A 24,266-nucleotide genomic window follows, 5' to 3' on the forward strand; every position below is an offset into this window, starting at 1 on the left:
CATTCTCAGTTCTTATCCTTCTCTCAAAATGCTGTAGGTAATGATTTTTCATCTTTTTTCTCTCTCCCTCCCTTACAGATTGATTTAGGCTCTGAGATAAAATTTAGGTGACATTTTAGATATCGACAGGGCATGTGCAGAGCAATACTCTGTCTTGCAGTATGCCAGCCACGGACGGGGTTTAGACAAACGGCTGAATATAAAACTCTTGCCTACAAGCAGCTCAGCCTAGAGGGGGAAACAGATTCATAAATATAAAATTACAATCCAAAGCAGGAAACACAGTATGTTATACGAAGGCAAAGAGGTTCGTCTTCTTTCATAGCCTCTCCTAAACCCGGCAACTCTGAGCTGTTTTTCTGGCAAGCCGCCGTCCATTGGCGGCCTCTGGCGCCGCGGCTTTCGGCGTGCGGACGGCGCAGGCGCGGGCGGGGCGGGGCCGGGCGGGGAGGGCGGTGAGGGCCGGCGCTCGGGGCCGCGTTTCATTGGCTTTCCGGCCGGAAGCTGCGGCGCGACCCGGCTGCGCATGCGCCTCTCACACGTGCTGTCAGAACGCCGCCTCCTCCGCTTGCGGCCGGTCTGCACCATGCTGCGAACGTCCGTCCTCCGCCTGCTAGGACGCACGGGGGCTAGTAGGCTGTCTCTCCTGGAGGACTTCGGCCCACGCTACTACAGTTCGGGCTCCCTCAGTGCCGGCGATGATGCTTGTGATGTGCGCGCCTACTTCACTACACCCATTTTCTACGTGAACGCGGCGCCGCACATCGGGCACCTGTACTCGGCACTACTGGCGGACGCCCTATGCCGCCACCGTCGCCTCCGAGGTCCCAGCACGGCCGCCACGCGATTCTCCACTGGTACCGACGAGCACGGGCTGAAGATTCAGCAGGCAGCAGCTACCGCGGGCCTGGCCCCGACCGAGCTGTGCGACCGAGTCTCTGAGCAGTTCCAGCAGCTTTTCCAGGAGGCCGGTATCTCCTGCACAGATTTCATCCGCACCACGGAGGCCCGGCACCGGGTGGCTGTGCAGCACTTCTGGGGGGTGCTTAAGTCCCGCGGTCTGCTCTACAAGGGCGTCTATGAAGGTTGGTATTGCGCTTCCGACGAGTGCTTCCTGCCTGAGGCCAAGGTCACCCAGCAGCCGGGCCCATCGGGGGATTCGTTTCCTGTATCTCTCGAGAGCGGGCATCCAGTCTCCTGGACCAAGGAAGAAAACTACATTTTCAGGCTTTCCCAGTTCCGGAAGCCACTCCAGCGGTGGCTGCGGGGCAACCCTCAGGCGATCACCCCCGAACCATTTCATCACGTAGTTCTTCAGTGGCTGGACGAGGAGCTGCCCGACCTGTCCGTGTCTCGCAGAAGTAGCCACTTGCACTGGGGCATTCCGGTGCCCGGGGATGATTCGCAGACCATCTATGTATGGCTGGATGCCCTGGTCAACTACCTCACTGTAATTGGCTACCCAAATGCTGAGTTCAAATCTTGGTGGCCGGCCACCTCTCATATCATAGGTAAGGACATTCTCAAATTCCATGCCATCTATTGGCCTGCCTTCCTGTTAGGGGCCGGCATGAGCCCGCCACAGCGCATCTGTGTCCATTCCCACTGGACAGTCTGTGGCCAAAAGATGTCCAAGAGCTTGGGCAACGTGGTGGATCCTAGGACTTGCCTTAACCGCTATACCGTGGATGGCTTCCGCTACTTTCTCCTTCGGCAGGGCGTCCCCAACTGGGACTGTGACTACTATGATGAAAAGGTGGTTAAGTTGCTGAACTCCGAGCTGGCAGATGCCTTGGGAGGTCTCTTGAACCGATGCACTGCCAAAAGAATAAATCCTTCTGAGACCTACCCAGCCTTCTGCACTACCTGCTTCCCTAGTGAGCCAGGGTTGGTGGGGCCGTCAGTTCGTGCTCAGGCAGAGGATTATGCTCTGGTGAGCGCAGTGGCCACTTTGCCAAAGCAGGTAGCAGACCACTATGATAACTTTCGGATATATAAGGCTCTGGAGGCCGTGTCCAGCTGTGTCCGGCAAACTAATGGTTTTGTCCAAAGGCATGCACCATGGAAGCTGAACTGGGAGAGCCCAGTGGATGCTCCCTGGCTGGGTACTGTGCTTCATGTGGCCTTGGAATGTTTGCGAGTCTTTGGGACTTTGCTGCAGCCTGTCACCCCAAGCCTAGCTGACAAGCTGCTGTCTAGGCTGGGGGTCTCTGCCTCAGAGAGGAGTCTTGGAGAGCTCTATTTCTTGCCTCGATTCTATGGACATCCATGCCCTTTTGAAGGGAGGAGGCTGGGACCTGAAACTGGGCTTTTGTTTCCAAGACTAGACCAGTCCAGGACTTGGCTGGTGAAAGCCCACCGGACCTAGAAACTCAGTTCTTACCGGCTTGTGGTAAAAAAGCAAATGTGTTATCTTTTTATTTTTTATTTTCAGGAAAGTTATACTAGTATTTTCTTAAGTGTGGAATCAAATGAGCACATAAGCTGTGTCCCTGTGAAAAGAGGTTTGTAGCCTTTCAGGTGCCTGCTCCTATTCATTTCTCTGTGACCATTGATCACTGTCCTTTGTGCATTGTGTGTCTAAGATGTCTTCAGGGGAAAGATGGGTAAGAGACAGTGTTGCTAATGCTGTTCCTTCTTTGTGCCTCCTTCCAAACCACAGTTATTTGCCCAAACTACCTCTCGTGGCTGGTTTTTCATTGGCCTGGCCTCTGCTTCTCAGGCTAATTAGTGACTCCTTTCTTTGAGGGTCAGGGTTGGAGGCCCCTTACTGGTGGTTTTACAGGGGGATCCTACTTTGTTACACATGTTGGGTTTCCTGATAAAAAGAGAGTATTTTATTAAACCCTTGAACCAGTGTCCTAGACCAGATGATTTTTGCCCATGTGTATCCCCATTTAAATTCCTACAACTAAGTCTCCCTGCTTTGTTAATAGTCCAACAGTTGGGTTGTGTAACATCACACTTCAACCGGTAGATGGCTCTAATCTCACACATTTACTTACTAAAGATTGAGGATTCGGAATATTTAGAATAAATTAGTTTTCTGCTTTCTAATTTTGCAGATCTTTACATTTTTATTGCTTTTCTTAAAATAAGGGATAGCTTTGCAACCACTATTGTTTTAATGGAAAGCAAAAAACCCCCCCAAACTTATCAGAATCCTCGTTCTTTTTCAGACTACTGAAAAATGACATTTACTCTGTTAAATGTTTAATAAGTGAATAAGTAAATGTATCAAGTTGTTTATATAATAAATTATAAAACTCTTGAGGCACTTGGTATGTTAAAAATTTTAAACTTTAGTAACATTAGGTTACAGGTATGATTTAAAAATTTGTAAATAGTTCAAAAGGGCAATGTTTTCTTTATATTTCTTATAGTCTTAATTTTGTTATCCATGTGCATAATTTACCTCATGATTTCTTTTGGTCAATCAGGATCTTTAATACAATATAGAAATTGTGTAATAGTTATTATAAATGTTAATACACAACTTTCAGGTAATTTTAACTGATTATTTCTTTTGCTCTTTTAACTTAAGTTATTAAAGTTTAAAAGTTCGTAAGTACCTTATTCAGATCTGTTCTGTTGCATTCGTTGAAGGTGATGGTGAAAGGAGGAACTGACCAATGCTTCAGGAATCTCAGACTGGATTTAGGAATCTCTCTAAGGCTCCATAAGAGAACATCACAGAGAAGATGTTAGCAATTTATACAGTGATTACAACATAGTAAGCCAGTTATGTCTCATAGGTGATTAGACAGCTGGGCCAAAGTTCAAAATGAGAACTTGCCTTGGAATATACATTCTAAGTATGGTAGCAAGTAGAGAGGGCCCACAATGAATTAAACTATTGTACTGGTAGTTCCCCTGGATTTATTCTAGGTGCCACCATTCAGTTCCAGTTTCTGTTTATTAATCAGCGAAATGAGGAATTTTTGGTTGCTGGAATATTGCTTAGAAGAGAATGCTTGAAGGTATTCTAAAGGTGGAAGGACTGTTGCCACAAATGTCCCTTCAGACCCTTCTTATTCATAAGTCTGGGCTTTCCACATGACATGTTCAAGTTAACTGCTGGGGTTATTAGCACAGACTACTGGGGCATAGGATGTAGGAGTGTAATATCTCCTACAGGTGGATAGAGCAGAGAGTGGAAAAAGATAATATGTATTTACGTGGATGAAGGAAAACATATTTGAAAACCAGTGAGATGATAACCTCTGCCTCTGAAGTGCTCTTATAGCAGTGTTACAGTTCCTACCATGGATGGAGACAGTGTCTTCTACTTGAATGATCTTTCCTATAGCCTTGTGCTGGTCAATACAATCGACCTTTGCTTGCTGGAGGGTGTCAATGGAGTTCTTTTAGTGCAGTCTGTCATTTGTGCAGGCACTTAGCTGGCTACCTGGATATTTGTGATACTGGAGGACACAAGAACATAGGGGAACCAGATAGGACAGGGCGTAATTATTAGAAAGACAGGATATTTTATTTTGTTTATTTATTTATTTATTTATTTATTTATTTATTTATTTATTTTTGTGTGAGCAATAAAGCTTTTTAATCACCTGGGTGCAGGCGGGCTGAGTCGGAAAAGAGAGTCAGCGAAGGGAGATGGGGTGGGGCCGTTTTATAGGATTTGGGTAGGTAAAGGAAAATTACAGTCAAAGGGGGTTCTCTGGCGGGCAGGGGTGGGGGTCACAAGGTGCTCAGTGGGGGAGCTTTTGAACCAGGATGAGCCAGGAAAAGGAATTTCACAAGGTAATATCATCAGTTAAGGCAGGAACAGCCCATTTTCACTTCTTTTGTGGTGGAATGTCATCAGTTAAGGCAGGAACCGACCATCTGGATGTGTACGTGCAGGTCACAGGGGATATGATGGCTTAGCTTTGGTGCAGAGGCCTGACTTTCCAAAGACAGGGTATTTTAAATGGAGGAATGTGTGGTAAGTTGGATCTGACTTCTGCGGTGATCCTGAAGATGAACCAGTTGGATTCTCTATAGGAGGCACAATAGATACAGCAAATATTCTTTGAATAATTAGTGATGTGTTTGAGTTGGTCCAGAAGTTTAAGAATAGCAAATGGAGAATACGTGAAAACTGAAGGGGATGTACTTCCAAGAGGGGGCATCCTAACCACTTCTGGTAGAAAATGATACACTTGTAGAATTCCCTACTCTAGCACTGTTAATACTTTTATCTGGCATTTTCTGGATTCCTTCGCCAGAAAGTAACTGTCTTCCAAATACTATCCTTGAAGTCCTCAAATATTCATTTTGGTGTGTTCCTGGAAGCAGCGTTGCAGGAGGTGAAAGACCACTGCCTAGATCAGGTATTCATGGATGTCACATTAGGAGAGTAATAAAAAGACGTCAACTCACTCAGCAGACTATAATCCTCTCTGTGAAGTCATGTGAGAAGTGGGCAATGCACATTTTAAGTTGCCCCATTATATACTGGAGGGCTGTTTCACAAGTGAACTCATAGATTAGACAGAAGACCTATGGCTATAAGAAGGAGCATAAGAAATAGATATAATCTCTGATTTTATTGAAACCTCAGTTTATTCTGCATGTAGACCTCATTATTTCTCTTAAGAATCTGTGGACTTTGTAGGGTCTATGAAGAGCCCAATAAATTGAATATGAAGTTGATGTCAGAGTACTTAAGAAGGGCCTAGGCTGGAACATGGGCCCTGGGACACTGGTCTTCCCCCTTCCCCCCACCCCCCAAGGTGGTTGTACCTGTGATTGGGACTTAGGTTAGCTCTTTAGCTCTGGGAAATGTCAAAACTGAAGTGAAACCAGTAGTTGGTCAGGTTGTGAGCCCTCAATGAGGATGACATCATCATGAAGTGAGACCTGGAGTGCTGGTGGGTCCTTGCCTTGTCTTTTGTCAGAAAGTGAATATCAATGGACCTAAAAGGGTGTAGACATATTGACAGATTATTGACAGATTATTATTATTATTATACATATTATTATATGTATAATAATAATATGTATTATATGATACATATATAATATAATATGTATATATATAATACATATAATATAATATGTATTATATGTATAATAATATGTGTAATATTATACATATTATTGTCAATATGTAGACATATTGATAGATTCTAGAAGAAAGCCCTTGAGTCTCTTGGAAAACTAAGATAGTATAATATATGTTATTTCAGCACAACAAAACTCACCCTGCCCCTTCCTCTTGCAGGAAGTTTGGAGAGGATTAGTTAACTCTTATCAAGAGGAACACACCAAATTTGGAGGTTAACAACAGTTAACAACCAAGTTAATTAAGGTTAATGGGAATTTTAACCTTTTAGGAAGAGTATCTTATTCTTTCTGGAGACAGGACAGGAGAAGCCCTGGTTAAACTTCCTTCCTATGTCACCAATAACTACTTTGAGCAGAGGGGAAGGGACTAACCAATTTAGAGGTGAAATTAGCTGCTTCTCTTTAGTAGGTAGTCTTGGGTTACCCAGAATAGATCCTCTGAATTAAAGGAACTACCTAGCAGGAAACAGTTGGCCATATTTAAATAGTTTGTTTAGGATTGTATCACATTAGTTTCCACTTTTCATGATGAGGGAAGGGAACTAGAAGGAACTACACACCAACAGGATCTTCCTATGGCCCCGACAACTAGAAATAATATATCCTCTACCATGCCTCTTCTGATGAGTACCACTTGGGAGGTTCAGCCATACTTGGATGTTCACCAAGGTAAGCAAGGCATAGTACATATGTTTCATCCTTGGCCTTGAGCTGAATTGTACCCCCTTAGCTAATGGCACAGTTTACTCACCATGGATTTTAAAGTCCACTGCTCCTCACTTAAGAACAGGATGGTGTGAGATGTTCAAGATGTTTCAGGAAACCAAGTGTGCCATCTGCAAGAAGAAAATTATAGCTCCAAGGAGGGATGAGCCCTGCCCTTGAGTCACTTCTGGATGAAACATCTGCAGAGGGCCTGACTCACTGGGTAAGCTGAAGGGACAGACCCAGGAATAACTATGGAAATGGAGGATGCCTTTCTTAGATTATGATGTGGGAGAAATGGTACTAACACCTCTGTGCTACTGCTATTAAGGCCATGCCTTGTACATGTACCCTCATTAGTTGAGAATCAATTGTTTATGGGATTTAACATGATGATGAAGCTTCAAAAACTAGATAATGATTGTTATAGGTTGGTATCATCATATTATTCTTTTAATACATTCCATAAAAATATGACCAATTACACATTTTTTCCTGATTGTATATTTTTGGAACACATTAAATAAAATAGCTTCAGTAGTTTGGCTTCCTTTGAAACCAGTCTAGAAGCTTCTATTGGTTAAAAAGCTATAGATATTAAAAATATAAAGTTAATAAACATGGTATACATCTTAGATTAATCACAAAATAATACAAATGGAATGTATTTCTTTCAAGCCAGATGAAAAGAGAAGTGAAAGAAAACAATCCAACAGAAGCCAGGAAGGAACAATGCAATAGAAGACAGGTAGGAGAAAAAAGAGGCAAAGAAAAAGGAAAAATATTGTAAATAGAAAGCCCAAAATAAAATGGCAGAAATAAATACAAATATGTCAGTAATTGTAATAAAATAAAACTTCATGAGTCTTCTGTCAAAAGACAAAACTATTCAAAATTAAATTTAAAAAGCAATATATGTAGTTAAAAGGGATATACTTAAACATAGAAGAAACTAAGACATACGAAGAAACACTAGGCATATATTAACCAAAAGAAAGCTGGTGTAGCAATATTAATATTACATAATCTATACTAGGGGGAAACCATTACTAAAAAGGTGGAATTTAATATAAAAGGAGTAATGCACCAAGTTACAATTATAAACTTGTATGACCTAACCACATAGCCTCAAAATGTAAAAAGCTAAGATTGAAAATTACAAGAAATGTTCAAGTCTATAAAAAAAAAAAAAGGCCCACAGGGTAAAAGTATAACAACTCATACTAGACATTAGCATTTCAGTCTTTAATGCTTACTACTAAGTGTATCATCACTGCTAAATGTAGGGAAAAAAAATTATGGCAGTCAAGGTTTCGTGACTCTAAAACTTTGTCTTTTTCTATCTATACCTCTGTGAAAATAACAGCTTGCTTTTTGAATATAACTGTCAGCCAAATATATCTATTCAGTAAGTCCTCTCTGGGTTACCAAAAGCGGGGAATCACATGGCCATAATTTTGCCAAATTTTCTGTTAGTTCAGTAATAAGTTGAGGGGAGAGAACCAACAGTTCTGTTTTCCTTATTTGTGTTCTCTCATTTATTTTTCCCTTGAGGTATTCAGCACCTTAAGGTACTCTTCTTGTGTTTAACCCATTTATGCCTGAGGTTGCAATTTTTTGAATTTTTGCAATCAGACCTTGGCGAAGACCTTGAGCAGGATATAAAATAACCCCCACATGCTTGGCGTTCCAATAATGGAACTCTAGGTATAAATGGGCTAATGAGAAACGGAGGTACAGAGATTAAGCAACTTGGCTAGCGTTATACAGCTTGTAAAACAGGAGAGCCTGGGACTCAATCCTGTGTTAATGCCAAAGCCTTAGCACCACCTTTAGTACCAACACCACAATCAGTCAATATGTATATACTGAGGGCATTGTTTTAAGTATTGTGGGGAAGAGGAAGTAGTATAATGAGATTTAAAGATCTGAAGATGAAAAGTCCAAATAAGAACCTTGAACTGAAATAGATCAGTTAGTGTTTCAAGATGAGGAATCTGTTTGTTGATAGCCAGATTATGAAACTGATGAGTGCCAAAATAGAAATTCAGAAAAATATACTTACCTTTATCATGAAATATGGTATATTTCACTTTTGCTTTTAGTATTTTCTTTTATATCCTAAATCTGCTTATGTGTGCTGTGCAAATTGTTAAAATTTTAAATAACTGTATAGTCCCTATTTTTGTTTGTCCTTGTTTTCTTATTTTGTTTCTTAATTTTAGAATGATGTTCCAATTTCTAGAATCTAGCAGTTCTCTAAGTGAAAGTATATAGTCATAAATTCATGAATCTAAGTATTTTTTAATGATATTTTACTAATTATTTAAATATACATTTATCTCTGAACATGAAAACATCAACATTCAAAAGTTTTATTTGAATTAACTATTATAGTGACAAAGCCAGATAATTTTATTAGAGGCCACAAACACTGAAACTTTTTCATACATACAGTTTTAATGCAAATGAACTTATTAATATGACATCCATTTATTAACAATTTAAGTTCTATGAATTTATCGAACATTTATTACTGTATTCTTATATCTTTCCTAACAAGCCTGCAGAAACCAGATTAAATATCCTTGACAGTGGTTATTACCAAAGCAAATACCACCCTGTTAGCTAAAATGCCACAGATTGGATAATTCCTGGTAAATTAAACACCTCATATCACAGTTGAGATAAGCTCTTATACCCCCAAACTAAGAGACTTTACTATGAATTGCATAATGAATACACAATGCTGTATTTTACATTTTTTCTGAAGTGTAGCTATTTTGTTGGACATGATGTGTCTTTGAAGAAATGTGTTGAATCTTATTTTTATATAGGTCTCTTAGCTATCATCGAAAATGTATTTAAAAAATATCAAAAGGCATTAAAGTTCTTGCTAACTTGGAAGGCCAGGAAGACCTATATTTTTATTCCATGTTTAAATAATTTTTTTCAGGATTCTGTCTAAATGCAAGCAGTATAGTCCCACAGCAAAGCATGATGGGTGCTTTTTCAGTTTTTTTTTTTGGTATGGCAGGTTACGACTTTTTGACAGAATCAGATTGATAGATCATACAAAATGTCCTGGGTAGCATATTTTAGATTACCTTTAAAACTCACTTAAGGAATTTATAAAGGCTTTCTCTTTTTTTTTTTTTGAGGTGAAGTCTCACTCTGCTGCCTAGGCTGGAGTGCAGTGGCGTGATCTCGGCTCACTGCAACCTCTGTCCCCCGAGTTCAAGCAATTCTCCTGCCTCAGCCTCCTGAGTAGCTGGGATTATAGCCACCTGCCACCGTGCCTGGCTAATTTTTGTATTTTTAGTAGAGACGGGGTTTCACCATCTTGGCCAGGCTGGTCTTGAACTCCTGACCTCGTAAGGTAAGAAAGGCCTCCCAAAGTGCTGGGATTACAGGTGTGAGCCACCGCTCCCGGCTTATAAAGGCTTTCGTAAAGAGTCTTCAATTTTGGTAAATTGAAGTTACTGCATTAATTTTTTACATTTAAATTTCTATAAAATTTATTTTACAGAAACATCCTATATTTTATATAAAAAGCAAAACAGTACTGAGTTCTGTTTGATTTTATAAGTAATTACTGGAACATTATATCAAGTTAAAATGTGTGAGAAGCCTATTGATTTATAGAATAAAATTATAAGTACTAACATAAGCAAATTTTTGAAAATATATATGGTTAATTGCATGAACGCTGATGATTGCATTTTCGTGCCATTTTAAGAGTTGAAAAAAGTATTTTTTGGCTTGGCTATAAAGGAAATATTTTTAACATTCATTGTGATATTGTTTGACCTACTACAAACAATAATAATAGTCCTCAAAATAGTAAGTTTTTTCTTATTTAAATGTTATGTACATAAAAATCAGCCTCTAGAAGGTAGTTAATTCATAACAAATTTTAAATAAAACTTTTGGTTGTAACTGATGTCCTAAAATTAGTTTTTTAGCTTAAGGAGAATATGTAGCACTTCTTTCTTTTTCCATAATCCATGGAGATGATCTAAAAGTGGAGCTATCAGCACTGGGGCATAAAACCAATATAAATGTATAACTGTGTAGCTATTGTAAAAATTGAAATCAGTATGATATCAGTTAGAAAAACATAGGAAAAATAGTGAAATCTTATTGCTTAACACAGAGTAGAGAGAAGGGGACTACCCAAGTTAAACCAAGTTATCGAAACTCATCCTTGGTAAGTTGGTTGAGGCAGATGTTTAAATATTCAGTATGTGAAGGTAGGTAGGTGAGTCTGAGCTCAAGAGTTTTAAACAAATTGTCTAAACAGCTAGGGCATAAGCATGAAAATCTATTTGGTAAACGTAGGATTGTTGCTGCATTTATGTTCATTTTTCCTTAGACATAAGGAAATAGACAACATTAGGATATTAAATATGTTACTTTAATTGAAAGCTATTCTCACAGACAGTTGGAAATAGCCTGAATAAAATAATGCTAACAGGTTAACTGAAGTCAGTATGTGGGTACCTATATAGGGCAGGAAAAATTTACACGTATTAGTATCTTTTAAAATACTATGCGTAATAGTTCAGATACTAATAAGGATTTTAGGAAATTTCTTTTATGTGTTGCTACAAATATATAAATGAATATTGTGTAGCTTTATTTTGGTATCAAAATTAGACATGTTAAAAGCAAAGATCCTGAGTGTGATTAGCAATTAATACACATTGTATTAAAATCATCTCAAATTGTTAATGAATACTTTAAAATTATCATCCTTTAGATGTTTTCTCCAAAACATCAAAGGAAAAAAAGGTATGCTTTTTAGGCAATACTTTTTATAGTAATGAAACGTTTATATACTATCATTGTGTTGTTTCACAGCTGTATGAGGTTAAAGATGAAAGTTTAGTCTCGGTATCTTCATTCATTTTTATACCATGATTTATAAAAATGATGTTGATAATTAAAAGTTAAAGCATTGATCTTTTGTAGTTATTAAAGGTATTTTTGCTATCATGGATATGTTATATTACAAAATAAGAGCCAAATATCACAATTTAAGCAGAGTAAGTTTTTTGGGGGGAATACATTAATAAATTTTCCTACCATCTCTGTTCTTCTGTACTTTATAGTTTGGAGTGAGAAATAAAGTAATATATAATATTTGTAGAACTGAACGAAAGTAATGTGGAAGCACATCAATACATTTTGGTAAAGAGCCAATTGCCTAAAATAGCTAAGAAAAACACTTCGATATCAATCTTTCTTGAACTAATATACAATGACTCTCAGACTCTTAAAATTTACAGATGGTGTGGAACAAAAATGCCTTGTTGTACACTTGAATAAGCCTGAATAATAAATATAGGATTAACATGTATGCTGAAAACATCAGACAAGCTGAATATGAAATAGATTGTTTCACGATATTTTGACTAGGGCTCTAATAACACTCTACTGGGGTTGTTCTACACAGCATGTTATTTTAAAAATAACTGGCTGGGCGCGGTGGCTCATGTCTGTAATCCTAGCACTTTGGGAGGCCGAGGCAGGTGGATCACGAGGTCAGGAGATAGAGACCATCCTGGCTAACACGGTGAAACCCCGTCTCTACTAAAAATACAAAAAAATTAGCTGGGCCTGGTGGCGGGCGCCTGTAGTCCCAGCTACTCGGGAGGCTGAGGCAGGAGAATGGCATGAACCCGGGAGTTGGAGCTTGCAGTGAGCCGAGATGGCACCACTGCACTCCAGCCTGTGCAACAGAGCGGGACTCAGTCTCAAAAAAATAAATAAATAAATCAAAATAAATTAAAAAAATAAAAAATAAATAAAAATAACTGCAGAACTCAGGCCTGTAATCCCAGCACTTTGGGAGGCTGAGGTGGGTGGATCACCTGAGATGAGGAGTTTGAGACCAGCCTTGCCAACATGGTGAAACCCTGTCTCTATTAAAAATACAAAATTAGCCGGGCGTGGTGGCAGGCGCCTGTAATCCTAGCTACTCGGGAGGCTGAGGCAGGAGAATTGCTTGAACCTGGGAGGCAGAGGTAGGAGAACTGCTTGAACCCGGGAGGCAGAGGTTGCAGTGAGCCAAGATGGCGGCATTGCAAGCCAGCCTGGGGGACAAGGCTGAGACTTCATATCACAACAAAACAAAAGAAAAAACCAAAACAGAACAAAAAAACTGCAGGAAAAAAAATTAAATAGTTGGAGTGGCCTTAGGGTGTGCCAAAATATTCTTTAATATAACTATGCCATTACATTTTATTCCTTAATCTAAATATTTGAGCTCAGAAACCTTAGTACATTATCTTTTATGACAAGGTAAAATAAAATCACCTAAAGTTATTATTGGGTTATCTTCCTAATATTATGAGAAGATTTTTTGTATATAATTCTTATTCTTGCCCAGCAGAAGTACAAATCAACTTTAGATCTTAGAATGGATGTGAAATTAAAATAGTAAAATCCTAGTATTTCCTCGTATTGTGCAATCGAATTTTATTAAAGGCCAGAATAAATTTTCATGTAGTCAATGTAAATATTGCTTATTTATGTAACTTTTTATTGTTTTATTAATCTATTCTTCTCTAAAAGGAGTATAATGTTTTTAGAGAAGAAAGTTGGGATATATATTAAACAGGCAATATTTAAAGGAAAGTTACTGTGGCAATTATTTAATTTTAAAATGTTCTAGTTAGAGTGGCATTTGTTAATTGTAAAAAGCTTCTCTAATTCTGTAAAAGCACGCAATCATAGCTTCTTTGTATTTAAAAGGTGAAATATGCGTGGTGGCTCAACGCCTGTAATCCCAGCATTTTGGGAGACCAGGTGGGCGGATCACGAGGTCAGGAGGTCGGGACCATCCTGGCTAACACGCTGAAACCCCGTCACTACTAAAAATACAAAAAATTAGCCGGGAGTAGTGGCGGGCGCCTGTAGTCCCAGCTACTCGGGAGGCTGAAGCAGGAGAAGGGCGTGAACGAACCTGGGAGGTGGAGCTTGCAGTGAGCCGAGATTGCGCCCTTGCACTCCGGCCTGGGCTACAGAGCCAGACTCCGTCTCAAAAAAAAAAAAACAAAAACAAAAACAAAAGATGCCATAAGGAATAAGGATCTTTATACTTCACGTATGGATGGCAAAAGAGGGCCAAAAATAGATATGGAGATAATCCAGATAATCATTAAGTATATTTAAGAATAGTGTAAACTTTGGCCATTGTAATTGCTATAAAATAAAAATATGACAGATTTCTGGATGTTTTATATATATACAGATTATATTTTATAGATACTAATGTTTGCCAACATTTCTAATATAAACTTAGAGTTTGAAATGTTTCATCAAAACATTTAATACATGTAAAATATATACAAAGTTAAATACAATAAAATCAAAATAATGTGGAAACTAGAATCTACTTGACATATCTCCCTAGCAAGATAGTGTTTTTTTTTTTTCGACTGTACTATATTATACAAATGGCCTGTTGCTACACATATTCTGTACATGCCATAGTTATGTCTACAAATATGGAATAGCTGGAATAAAATGGAAAAATCTAAACACCAAAGATGTTTGTACATGGTTGTATATGAAATTATCATGTTGACAAAATAGCCAGATAATAACTAAATTTTTCAAACTCAAGATTTTTGTTGTCTTATAGGTGTAACCTTTGGTCTATTTGTTACAGATTATAAGTCTATGTTACTTGAGTGTGTGAATGAATAAAGGAAACATTTAGTTTATCCTGCATCTCCAATGTTCTGGTTACTAAGATTTCTTTAATTCTCTTAAAAAAGCAAAAACATTTAACCTTAAGCACATCCAAACCCTCATATTTGTTACCAGATCACATATGGGGCTAGTTGTTTTTTATTATTGGACAAAATAGTTATCCAAGGTTCTGCTTAACAGAATCAGCAGAGGAAGGTGGAGTAAGAATTGAATCCTCTGCTCTGAAATCTTTTCTAGGATGAAGATGTGGGCTTTGAGAATATCAAGGTTTCAAACCTAGACAAAGGCTGAGAAAAGCTTCTCACAGAATGTAACCTTGGTTCCTATTAAGAGATTTAAAGAAAATTAAGGTTTAATGCATTTTAAATGGCTCTAATTTTATAATTACTTGGGAAAGATTTAAAAAATCAGATTAACTGGGCCTGGATTCTGCAGAGAGAAGGTGTGTTTTAGGAAATTCCCACTAGAAAAAGTAGGTGACCTCATAACCTGCTGCTGGACAAGGAGGCATTCTAGGGCTATAAAAAGAGACTCACTTCAAGGGATCTGAGGCCACATCCAATGGTATTTCTAAGTTATTAGGTTATGCTTTCTTTGTATCATCCCTGAACTTTGGTAAAGATTTGTTGAAAAAAGATTTATGAACTATGATATACAAAATTAAGATGAGATCTGATAGGTAATAAAGCAACTATCCAGAGAAAATCAGAGAATTATTAATATACTACTTCATGTTAATAGAGTAGCATCCTGTTAAAACATGCAATGAATAGACTCTGTGTCCCAACAAATGATTTTTATTCGATCCACTGCTGAACATAAGGATCCTTTGAGATATTGTTTTGCTCAAGAAACTGAGAATAGGAAATTTCAGTTAAGGCATCCATAATGAATAAATGCTTACTTCAGGAGTCAAGATGTAACCAAATCCTTTTACCTAAAAATCTTGTAATTTTCCCTGCCTGCTTTAAGTGATTTGAGTTGTGATTGAAGAAGAATGCAAGCATCAAGGAGGTGGGGTTAACTTCATAAAGATGAACACAAGTTTTGAAGTAGCACTTAGGCCAAATCAACTGCCTGGCCTGCATCTAATAACAGAAATTTAATACTAAGTGTTCTGTTAGTTTTTCCAAAAACTTAACTAGGGACTTATATAGTTAAGGGAAATGAGCTAAAGATTCTAAGGTAAAAGGCAAAATTTTTGTAAAGAGGTATGTTTGATTATATATTGTAATTTCCATGATTTGGGAACGTAGGCCCTCTGCTGACTTACCAAAACATTGAACATGTCTATCAACAAGCAATTTGCCACTGCTGGAATAGGTAAGTATCAGGAGTAAGTAATAAAAACAATGGATAATTTCTCATGGCATATAAGACCTAGATAACTCTAGGGTCAAGTGTTTTAAATTGTGCAATTACACAGAGTTTATTCTTATCAAGTATCTTAAAGCAATATGAATAAGCTTTCTGTGTAAATGCACAATTATCACTTGTGAAGTTATAAAATAGTCTTCCAACTAGGAAAGAAACACATTTATGATGTATTTTAATAATAATTTAAAGGTGGTTTATCGAAATCAGTGTTGTGAAAAAAATTCACTCCAATGACATCAGACTATATTTAACCTTAGGCACTGTTATAATTTTTGAGCTAAAAATACTTCAGTGGACAATTATGATAATGACCCATTTACCTTAGAGACACATCCAAGTTTTATCAGTATAAAAAGTCTGGTACCTGTCATTAGGATGTAAAAAGGAAAACTAAACTAGAATAACCCTCTTCCAAAATAGCAAATTCTATATGGAGGGCCTGTACTAAGACTGATACATGCCTACATTGTGGCAATTAGCAAGAAAAATTGAAAGGAAGAAAGAAGAAAAATAACATTTATTTTTGGTGAACTTTATTCTTTCATAAGCAGTGGAAATGTGCCATGTTCCCAATATACAAAGAGGACATGGCACAGCCTCTAGGTATCTTTTGCTATAGCAGGGATTAAAGTTTTTCTGGGATACCTTAGAAGTTCTTTCTTCTCATGCTGTGTTCCTTCTTATATTTCCCAGAATGCTGACTTGCACAATACTTTTAAAGAAAATTAAATTCTGGGGTAATTTATTTCCACTATTTTGGTTAGAAAACTGGTTAATATTTAGGTTACTTGATAAAAGCATGATTAAACAGTTTTATGTTTATCACAATTTGTTTCTTTTTTTTAGAAGTGAAATATTTTTCTGATTCAGATTCCCAGATGCTAAAGGGATTAGAATAGATATTTATTTGAGTTAGATTTAATTTTGGTGATTCAATGAAAGACGGTCCATAACTCTTGGGTGGGACAAAAATTATTTTTGAAAAGCATTGTGTTAAGGAACTTCCCTCTCACTCCTCCTACCCTCCTCCCGCCTCCACTCCCCAGAAATCACTTGCTTCCTTACAGGTGATCATTTATTAGCAAAAAAAAGTTCTGAGTTCTAACACTTAATAGTAATGTCACCTTGGGAAATTCTCTTAACCTTTCTGAGCTTCACTTCTCTCATAAAAAAGTGCCTGATTATCTCACAAAAATATTGAGTGGATAAAATGAGATAATGCATGTGAAGTGCTTGTACATTGTAAGGTGCTATATAAATATAAATATATAAATATAAGGTATTACTCTTGTTTTGAAATAATATAGTCAGAAAAAATGTGATATTTTAAGCAGGACTTTATAGCACATCATCAACAAAGTTAATACCATTTTTACTTGGAATATTATCGTGGACTTTGAACAATCTTCAATGATTTAAGCAAAGCTTTTCTGTAGAACAGTGAACACAGGTTAAGTGACCAAAATTTCAAGACTAGTATCTTAAGACTATTCCATAGTTATAGACTCTGTTTCTTCATATATGAAGTAAGGGATAATAGGATCTCTGGGATTTATTTGAGTCCTTAAATTATATAATTCTATGGTTTCATATTTATAACATAGGAAAATATGTTTATATCTAAACATAAGTCAATCTGTTTATATAGCTGTATCACTCACTGGCTAAACTGGAAACCATAAAGCTTCAAGGGTTAAAGTAATAAAGCAGTCCAGGCCTAGGCCCTATAGCTTAATCCCTTTTTAGGCCATACTTTTTGATCCTGATTTAATGTTACATTTATTGTGTAATATATTAATATTAATAGGGTTAGCTATATTCCAATTTCCCTGAGACAGTCGAGGCTTATGCTTACTGTATTACTAGAATTTTAGTTTTGAAAAACAGTTTTTGAATAGAATGATTTTATAGGCTTATTAATATGGCAAACTTCTTTTTGGCCAATAAAGACATATTTCAAAAAATATGTAATTTTAATTCTTTTTGGTGCCCCCTTTCTCTCTCAAGTATTCATATTTGGATGATAAGTAGATGATTACCCCATATAAGATCTCTGAGCAGAGATCAGCAAAGTCAAGAACTGTCTGACTATTACAAGGAGCAGAAGTTAGTGCAGAATTTGATATGACTGATGAAACATCAGAGGACCTCGTCTATAGGTGAATCACCTTGATTTCTGTAAAGATAATAAAAATCAAGTCTGCTGCTCATCAATGCAGGTGGGGGTGAGATTCAAGAGGAAATATGTGTTGGAGAACAAGGACTCCTAATTCTGAGTCCATATAATGTTGTTTCAGAGAAGGTTAAACTAATAATTACAGTGGAACTTGGCATGTGTCTAAGGATGTAATCAGTTCTAAGAAAAGATGTAGTTATATTACTACACATGACTCTATTCAGACAGACCGTAAAGTAAGACAGGCAGTCTGTCTTACTTTAATGGAATGAATTGTACTTTATTTAAATAATAAAGATGAGATTTCTTTTGAAACTGCATGACCCGAGATTAAATCATGTCAGTAAAAACTGTACTGTTACTTACCTTTAGCTAGCATGTATGAAGATGTTTGGTTTGAAGGATGTTTAATAAGGAAAGACCAACTGGATGATTTATATGAAGAAATGACATTTAGAATGAATTCTGGATGTTTCTCCAAATAATTCATCATTTAGAAGAGAATAGGGAAAGCTGAATTCTCTGTAATGGATATACAAAATTTAAGCAAAGGTGACAGTGATTTAGAAAGTAATTTTCATGAAGCAAGTGAATGGATTAAATGAATTGTACAGTGTTAGGTTTATATCCCAAATCAAAGTTTGAATTTTAAAAAAATGTTTAACTTCAAAAAGTCCCATCAAAAAAACAAACACATTATCTTTTCTTCAGCTTTCTAAACTTTTCCCATATCATGGCATAACCATAATATTCACATGGCACAGTGGGGCTAAGGGAGCCTGTGTGCACTGAAGGTGATGTGAAAGGATGTCCTGAATTCTCTATTGCTGTTTTTAATATGGTTACTAAGATAACAAAGTCATTTATTCACTGGGGGATGGGGAAAAAAAATAATGCTTTAGACTACCACTACAAACAAATACATATACTCCAGTTCTGTAGGAAACCACCAGTTAAACATTTGATGCACGAAGAACTAAATCTTTTTATTTTGTTTTTGTTTTTGAGACGGAATCTTGCTCTGTCACCAGGCTGGAGTGCAGTGGTGTGATCTCGGCTCACTGCAATCTCTGCCTCCCGGCTTCAAGCCATTCCCCTACCTCAGCCTCTTGAGTAGCTGGAACTACAGGCGTGCACCACCACACCTGGCTAGTTTTTTGTATTTTAGTAGAGATGGGGTTTCACCATGTTGGCCGGGATGGTCTCGATCTCCTGACCTTGTGATCCACCCGCCTAGGCCTCCCAAAGTGCTGGAATTACAGATGTGAGCCACTGTGCCTGGCCAAGAACTAAATCTTAACAAGGAATTCAGACTTTTATATTTCTCAAAAATCAGATGTTGGTCAGTTCCCCCAAAACTAGAAATAAGTCCACAGAATTTTGATCCATTAATTAGATGGGATTTATCAGTTGCTTTTTTGATACCTTCTACAAAGGGATGGAATGATAGCTGTTAGATAAAGCTGCAAAAACTCACCTGTTAAAAAATTAGAACTTGTCTGTAGCCTCAGATTCCCAGTCCAGACACGTAGAATAGGTGCAACACTACTTGTTAATAAGTAATATTACAATAATATTGTCTGTTCTAATTAACATATGTTTTCTGTTATACTTCTTTATATCTATACATGTATGCATACATATATATTTGTGTATATATATAATATATATAATATAGTTACATAAAAGCTCTAATCACCAAGATATTTCTATAAAAGGACTTCACTATAGATTATCACAAAGCCTTAGGTTTCAGATGATTATATACCATTTGATTAATTAAAAGAACAGAATGAATGATGACATGAGCAATTGTACCCCAATGGGCATCTGCAATTCAAATACTATGAGATATTGAAGGATCAACTTAGAAATGTTTTTATTTCAAATGCTTCATGAGTGAAAGTAAAGCCACTATTAATGTAAATACCACAGGTCCCATTTGATGGAGAAAATACTTTACTGAGATAACACATAGATTATATGATAGACCCAGCCTTCACAAATACTTTTTAAAGGAATAAAACCTATCAAAGACAAAGGTATAGAGAGAATGCCACAAAACTTGTCAGTGGTTAGTAAAGGGAGAAAATAAATATTAAGACATTAGGGGCAGTTACTTTGAAGGCTTTATACCTCTGGAAAGAAACCTGACTCATTATAAAACAAAATAACAACACAAAATGATATTTTTAAAATGATATTTTTTTCCCAGGAAATAAAAACTCTTAGAGATGTGTTTTTATCTTCACCATCTCATGCAGGAAGAAATGGAGAAGAAAAAAGTAGGAGTCTAATCAAAGAACTTTCTTCTTAGACATTCTCTCTTCAGACCTAACGGTATACTGGAATCTTATGGGTACATCCCAAGAAGTGTGAGGATCTAGGTCCCCAAAATTTTCTCTGATGAACAACCATCAACTGTTGCTTATCTTCTGAAGTGAGAAGACTCTTAGCAGGGGAGGAAGTGAGGGGCCTTGGTCTCAAAGTATAGAGAGGTCACTTCTCACACTCCTGTATTTCCAAGGGAAGAGTAAGTCCAACAAACAGCAGCCACTGTAGTTGCTAATCAGAGAGTAGTATTCACCATGTAAGGACAAAGCCGATGCGATATTTTTAAGGACTTATGCACAGGGATAAAAACACTGAATAGAGTTGAAAGAAACCGCACCAATTATGAATATTACTTATATTCATTCTTTGGGTAAAATTTTCCTCTTTGCCACTTTTAAGTCTATAGGGATTTCAGGATAAACTGGAGTCAAACTATAGATCTAGAGGCCAACAATTTATTACAGTAACAAAGAGCATGTTGAAGCATGATATTGAAGTTGTATTGGATGCCCTCCTAAAGTCCTTTGATTCTGTATTTTAATTCTATTGAAGTGCAATTTCTGGGAAAGATACGAATAATTTTTATGTGTGACCCCCAAATCATTATTTTATAGTTAAGCGTAGCATAAATCTAGGAAACACACTCCTACATATGGGGGTTATCATGTATAAATTTGTTTGAAAATAATTGTACTGTTCTTGTCGGTGGAAATTTATAAAGCAATCTGTTTTAAACTAAATCGTACCTCTTTCCAAGCCATCCTTCTGAAATCAGCTGACAGAGGAAGTTAAAGCCTAATTTCCCAAGATGCTTTATCTTTTGACATGTTACCATCTTTCTATCTCAGATTGTATTAGAGATTTTTGGAAAACAGGCTGCAAAGTTATTACCTTGTGATTTTGGTACATGTACTAATATCTGTATTATCCATTTTATTCTAACACCCAGTGAATTTCAGATAATTTCTTCAGATTTGCCTTTCAAAATGGGTCCTAAGTAAAACCTTAATTTTCAAAATTATCAGAGATATACTACAAAATAGAAATAAATAAAATGGGCTTTACTTAGTATATGTAAGGAGAATTTTTGTCTCTCAATCTATCTGTTTTTAGAAGTAACATGTGTGGGGCTGGGTACAATGGCTCACGCCTGTAATCTCAGCACTTTGGATGGCCAAAGTAGGAAGATCACTTGAGCCCAGGAGTTTGAGACCAGCTTGGGGAACCTAGTAAGACCCTGTCTCTACAAAAAATAAAAAATTAGCTGGGTGTGGTGGTGCATGCCTGTAATCCTAGCTACTAGGGAGGCTGAGGTGAAAGGATGGCTTAAGCCCAGGAGTTTGAGGTCACAGTGAGCCATGATCGCATAACTGCATTCCAACCTGGGCCCCAGAGCAAGACAGTCTCTTAAAAAAAAAAAAAAAAAAAAAAAAAGTAACATGTTTGGGCTATTAAGCTAGGCCATGAAGAAGGCTGTATGATATCCTCCATTTATTCAGATTGTCAAACTCCCAAAATTTTTAGTAGCTTCTCAAAATAAAGCTAAATTCTAAGAAAGTGCATATGTATAAATTATATATGTGTGTGTATATATGCATATAAACATGTATATATGTGTATGCATATAATCTATATAGTTGTGGAAGAAACACACTTGGGTATCAATTATCATCAAAATTCCTTATCCAATAATACATAATTAATTTTTATTAACAGTCCAGGATTTGTTTAGCATCTTGTTTAACATTTGAAAATCAAAACATAAACTTTTTGGTTCTCAAGGATAGTGCTATTAAAAGAAAATCTTGAACATCAGTGGTTAGTAATTTTTTACTTACAGAACAAAAACTTCTGAAATTTCATTGTGGGACTTAATCTATTTACATTCCTAAAACTGAGAATAATTAATGTATTTGAGATCCTTGTATGCTAGTATACATTCATAAGGTTCTACTGTTCTCATGAAGCCATTTGACTGGCAAACATATTCATTACAGTTTCAAAAGAAAACACCCTATTTGACTCACCAGAAAAACCTTTGTGATCTATATCCTACTATTTCTGCTGCTGCTGCTGAGCATGGAATACATGTGGGGTTGAAACAGGGGAGGAAAGAGATAGATTTATTAGGGTAATACCAACTTTTATGGCTCCCCCTGCCCCCTCCACCTAAAATTAGGAGGTCAGTGAAAGAACTGCAAATGAATGTAAAGAGGAATATTTCCTGTACTACTGTAGAAATTTTAGAGATTAAAAACCCCTATGATTTGTTCTGTACCTTTTGAACAATGAATGACACCCCTCCCATCTATTTTCCAATTTTATAGTAAAAATCGGATTTAGAATCAGAATCTAAAATTTTCCTTTGGTGTAAAAAATAGTTTTGCATTTTATGAAAACAATTGTCCTTTTAAAAATTAATCACATATATAATTGAATATATTGGTTGCATATCAGAAGAAAAGGTTTAAGGATTAAAGCATTCAAAGAACAGTAATTTGGTGGAATTTCAGTCAGTGTTATGGGATCATGTCAGAGATGAACCCTTTTATCAAAATTCCAAAGGTGGATCCATATTTTATAAAATTTGATACCAAATAAATTATGTTATAGGAAGATTTCAATATTGTCTCAAACACTGGAGAAAAAATTTAATATAGTCAAATTACATGAAAAGGCAAGAATACTGATCATGTTGATGGTATTTCTAATATTTGGAAAATGTTATAAAAAAGAAGTATAAATACTATTCAGATTCTGAAAACCATGGCAGACGCAAAATTAAATAAGGAGTAACAGTAATAAATGAATTAAAAATTAGACAAAAGCATATTAAATGACAAAACAGCAAAGCAAAAATAGAATTGTCATTAATATTAAATAGTATACTGTTGTAAAATATATGAAAGTATTAAAAGTATTATAATTAAAAATGATTCTTATCCTAAATATGAAAATAAATATCAAATAATATGAAACATAACATCTAATTGTTTGATAAGAAAAAATAACACAAAGCAGAGAAAATAAAAGACACCTCACTATTCCCAATGTGGTTATTATTTATGGAATGGATAAAACATGTTGTAGAAAAGGTCATTACAGTTAGGTTAGCACATAAAAAACCAACATGCCACATCTACCTAAATAATTTTGTAGAACAGCTGAAAAAGCAAATTTCATCAAATTTAGACAGCTTATAGTGGAATAACTGAGTATGGTGAGGTATTAACTAACACTAAGTTTCACAACGGGCAGCTTCTAGCTGGTTCGTTGAAGCTGGATCTCGGCCACGCAAGGATCATTGGACAAGAAATCAGTTGAGCTGGAATAGAGCTGCCCAATTGTCTTAATAATGAATGCTCCACACTGTCTGTTAAGTAAAGAGAAAATATAGATCAGGAAGACTGAATGGAAAAAAAAAGATAAGTTAGAACAGATGAGTACAGACCATCAATCAACATTCACTAAATATTTGCAGAACCTTGGTACCAATTAAATTAGAATGTTACAAAGTGAGAGGCTAGCAATTTAGGAGGGCTCCAGAACTCAGGAAAACCTGCTCTCTGAGAGCTTAGAATCTATATTAGACAATCTCTAGTCTAGTGTTACAGTATAAATGTTGAGTAAATAAAATGAGGGATGGGTCAGCACAGATTACGAGTTACAACATTTCCTTCTATTAGGTGGGTCTTAAAAACTTGTTTTTAAAAGGGGAATAGTATTTTTGGCAGGAGGCTATTTAGAACGCTGTCCAGGGGAGGAGCCAAGATGGCCGAATAGGAACAGCTCCGGTCTACAGCTCCCAGCGTGAGCGACGCAGAAGACGGGTGATTTCTGCATTTCCATCTGAGGTACCGGGTTCATCTCACTAGGGAGT

General features: G+C 36.8%; 2 protein-coding genes across 10 annotated transcripts in view, besides 3 other annotated features; one reads left to right on the plus strand and one right to left on the minus strand.

The window, feature by feature from the left end:
- Positions 364-603: a silencer, noted in NCBI's record as "silent region_12216". NCBI's record gives its function as "represses an Ori minimal core promoter by ATAC-STARR-seq in GM12878 lymphoblastoid cells {active_cell/tissue: GM12878}" and the evidence as "EXISTENCE:reporter gene assay evidence [ECO:0000049][PMID:35858748]".
- MARS2 (methionyl-tRNA synthetase 2, mitochondrial) lies at positions 550-3,576 on the plus strand. Its single transcript, NM_138395.4, has one exon. The coding sequence runs from the start codon at positions 587-589 to the stop codon at positions 2,366-2,368; it is 1,782 nt and encodes a 593-aa protein (NP_612404.1). The 5' UTR covers positions 550-586; the 3' UTR covers positions 2,369-3,576.
- Positions 744-793: an enhancer, noted in NCBI's record as "active region_16942". NCBI's record gives its function as "activates an Ori minimal core promoter by ATAC-STARR-seq in GM12878 lymphoblastoid cells {active_cell/tissue: GM12878}" and the evidence as "EXISTENCE:reporter gene assay evidence [ECO:0000049][PMID:35858748]".
- Positions 834-953: an enhancer, noted in NCBI's record as "active region_16943". NCBI's record gives its function as "activates an Ori minimal core promoter by ATAC-STARR-seq in GM12878 lymphoblastoid cells {active_cell/tissue: GM12878}" and the evidence as "EXISTENCE:reporter gene assay evidence [ECO:0000049][PMID:35858748]".
- Positions 22,071-24,266, minus strand: part of BOLL (boule RNA binding protein) — a 59,317-nt gene continuing 57,121 nt past the window's right edge. For 7 of the 9 annotated variants that reach the window (NM_001284358.2, NM_197970.3, XM_011511692.4 and 4 more), the window contains one exon: positions 22,071-23,759. In NM_001284358.2, the coding sequence (NP_001271287.1) occupies positions 23,736-23,759 (24 nt within the window). In that variant the 3' untranslated portion in view covers positions 22,071-23,735. The remainder of the gene's footprint in view (positions 23,760-24,266) is intronic. The other 2 variants (NM_001284361.2, XM_047445580.1) reach the window with 2 other exon arrangements.

This window comes from Homo sapiens, chromosome 2 (genome assembly GCF_000001405.40).
Source record: "Homo sapiens chromosome 2, GRCh38.p14 Primary Assembly".
Lineage (NCBI taxonomy): Eukaryota > Metazoa > Chordata > Mammalia > Primates > Hominidae > Homo > Homo sapiens.

Bases quoted from the DNA above. Each gene is read 5' to 3' on its own strand.
- MARS2 (NM_138395.4), top strand. From the start codon at position 587: ATGCTGCGAACGTCCGTCCTCCGCCTGCTAGGACGCACGGGGGCTAGT.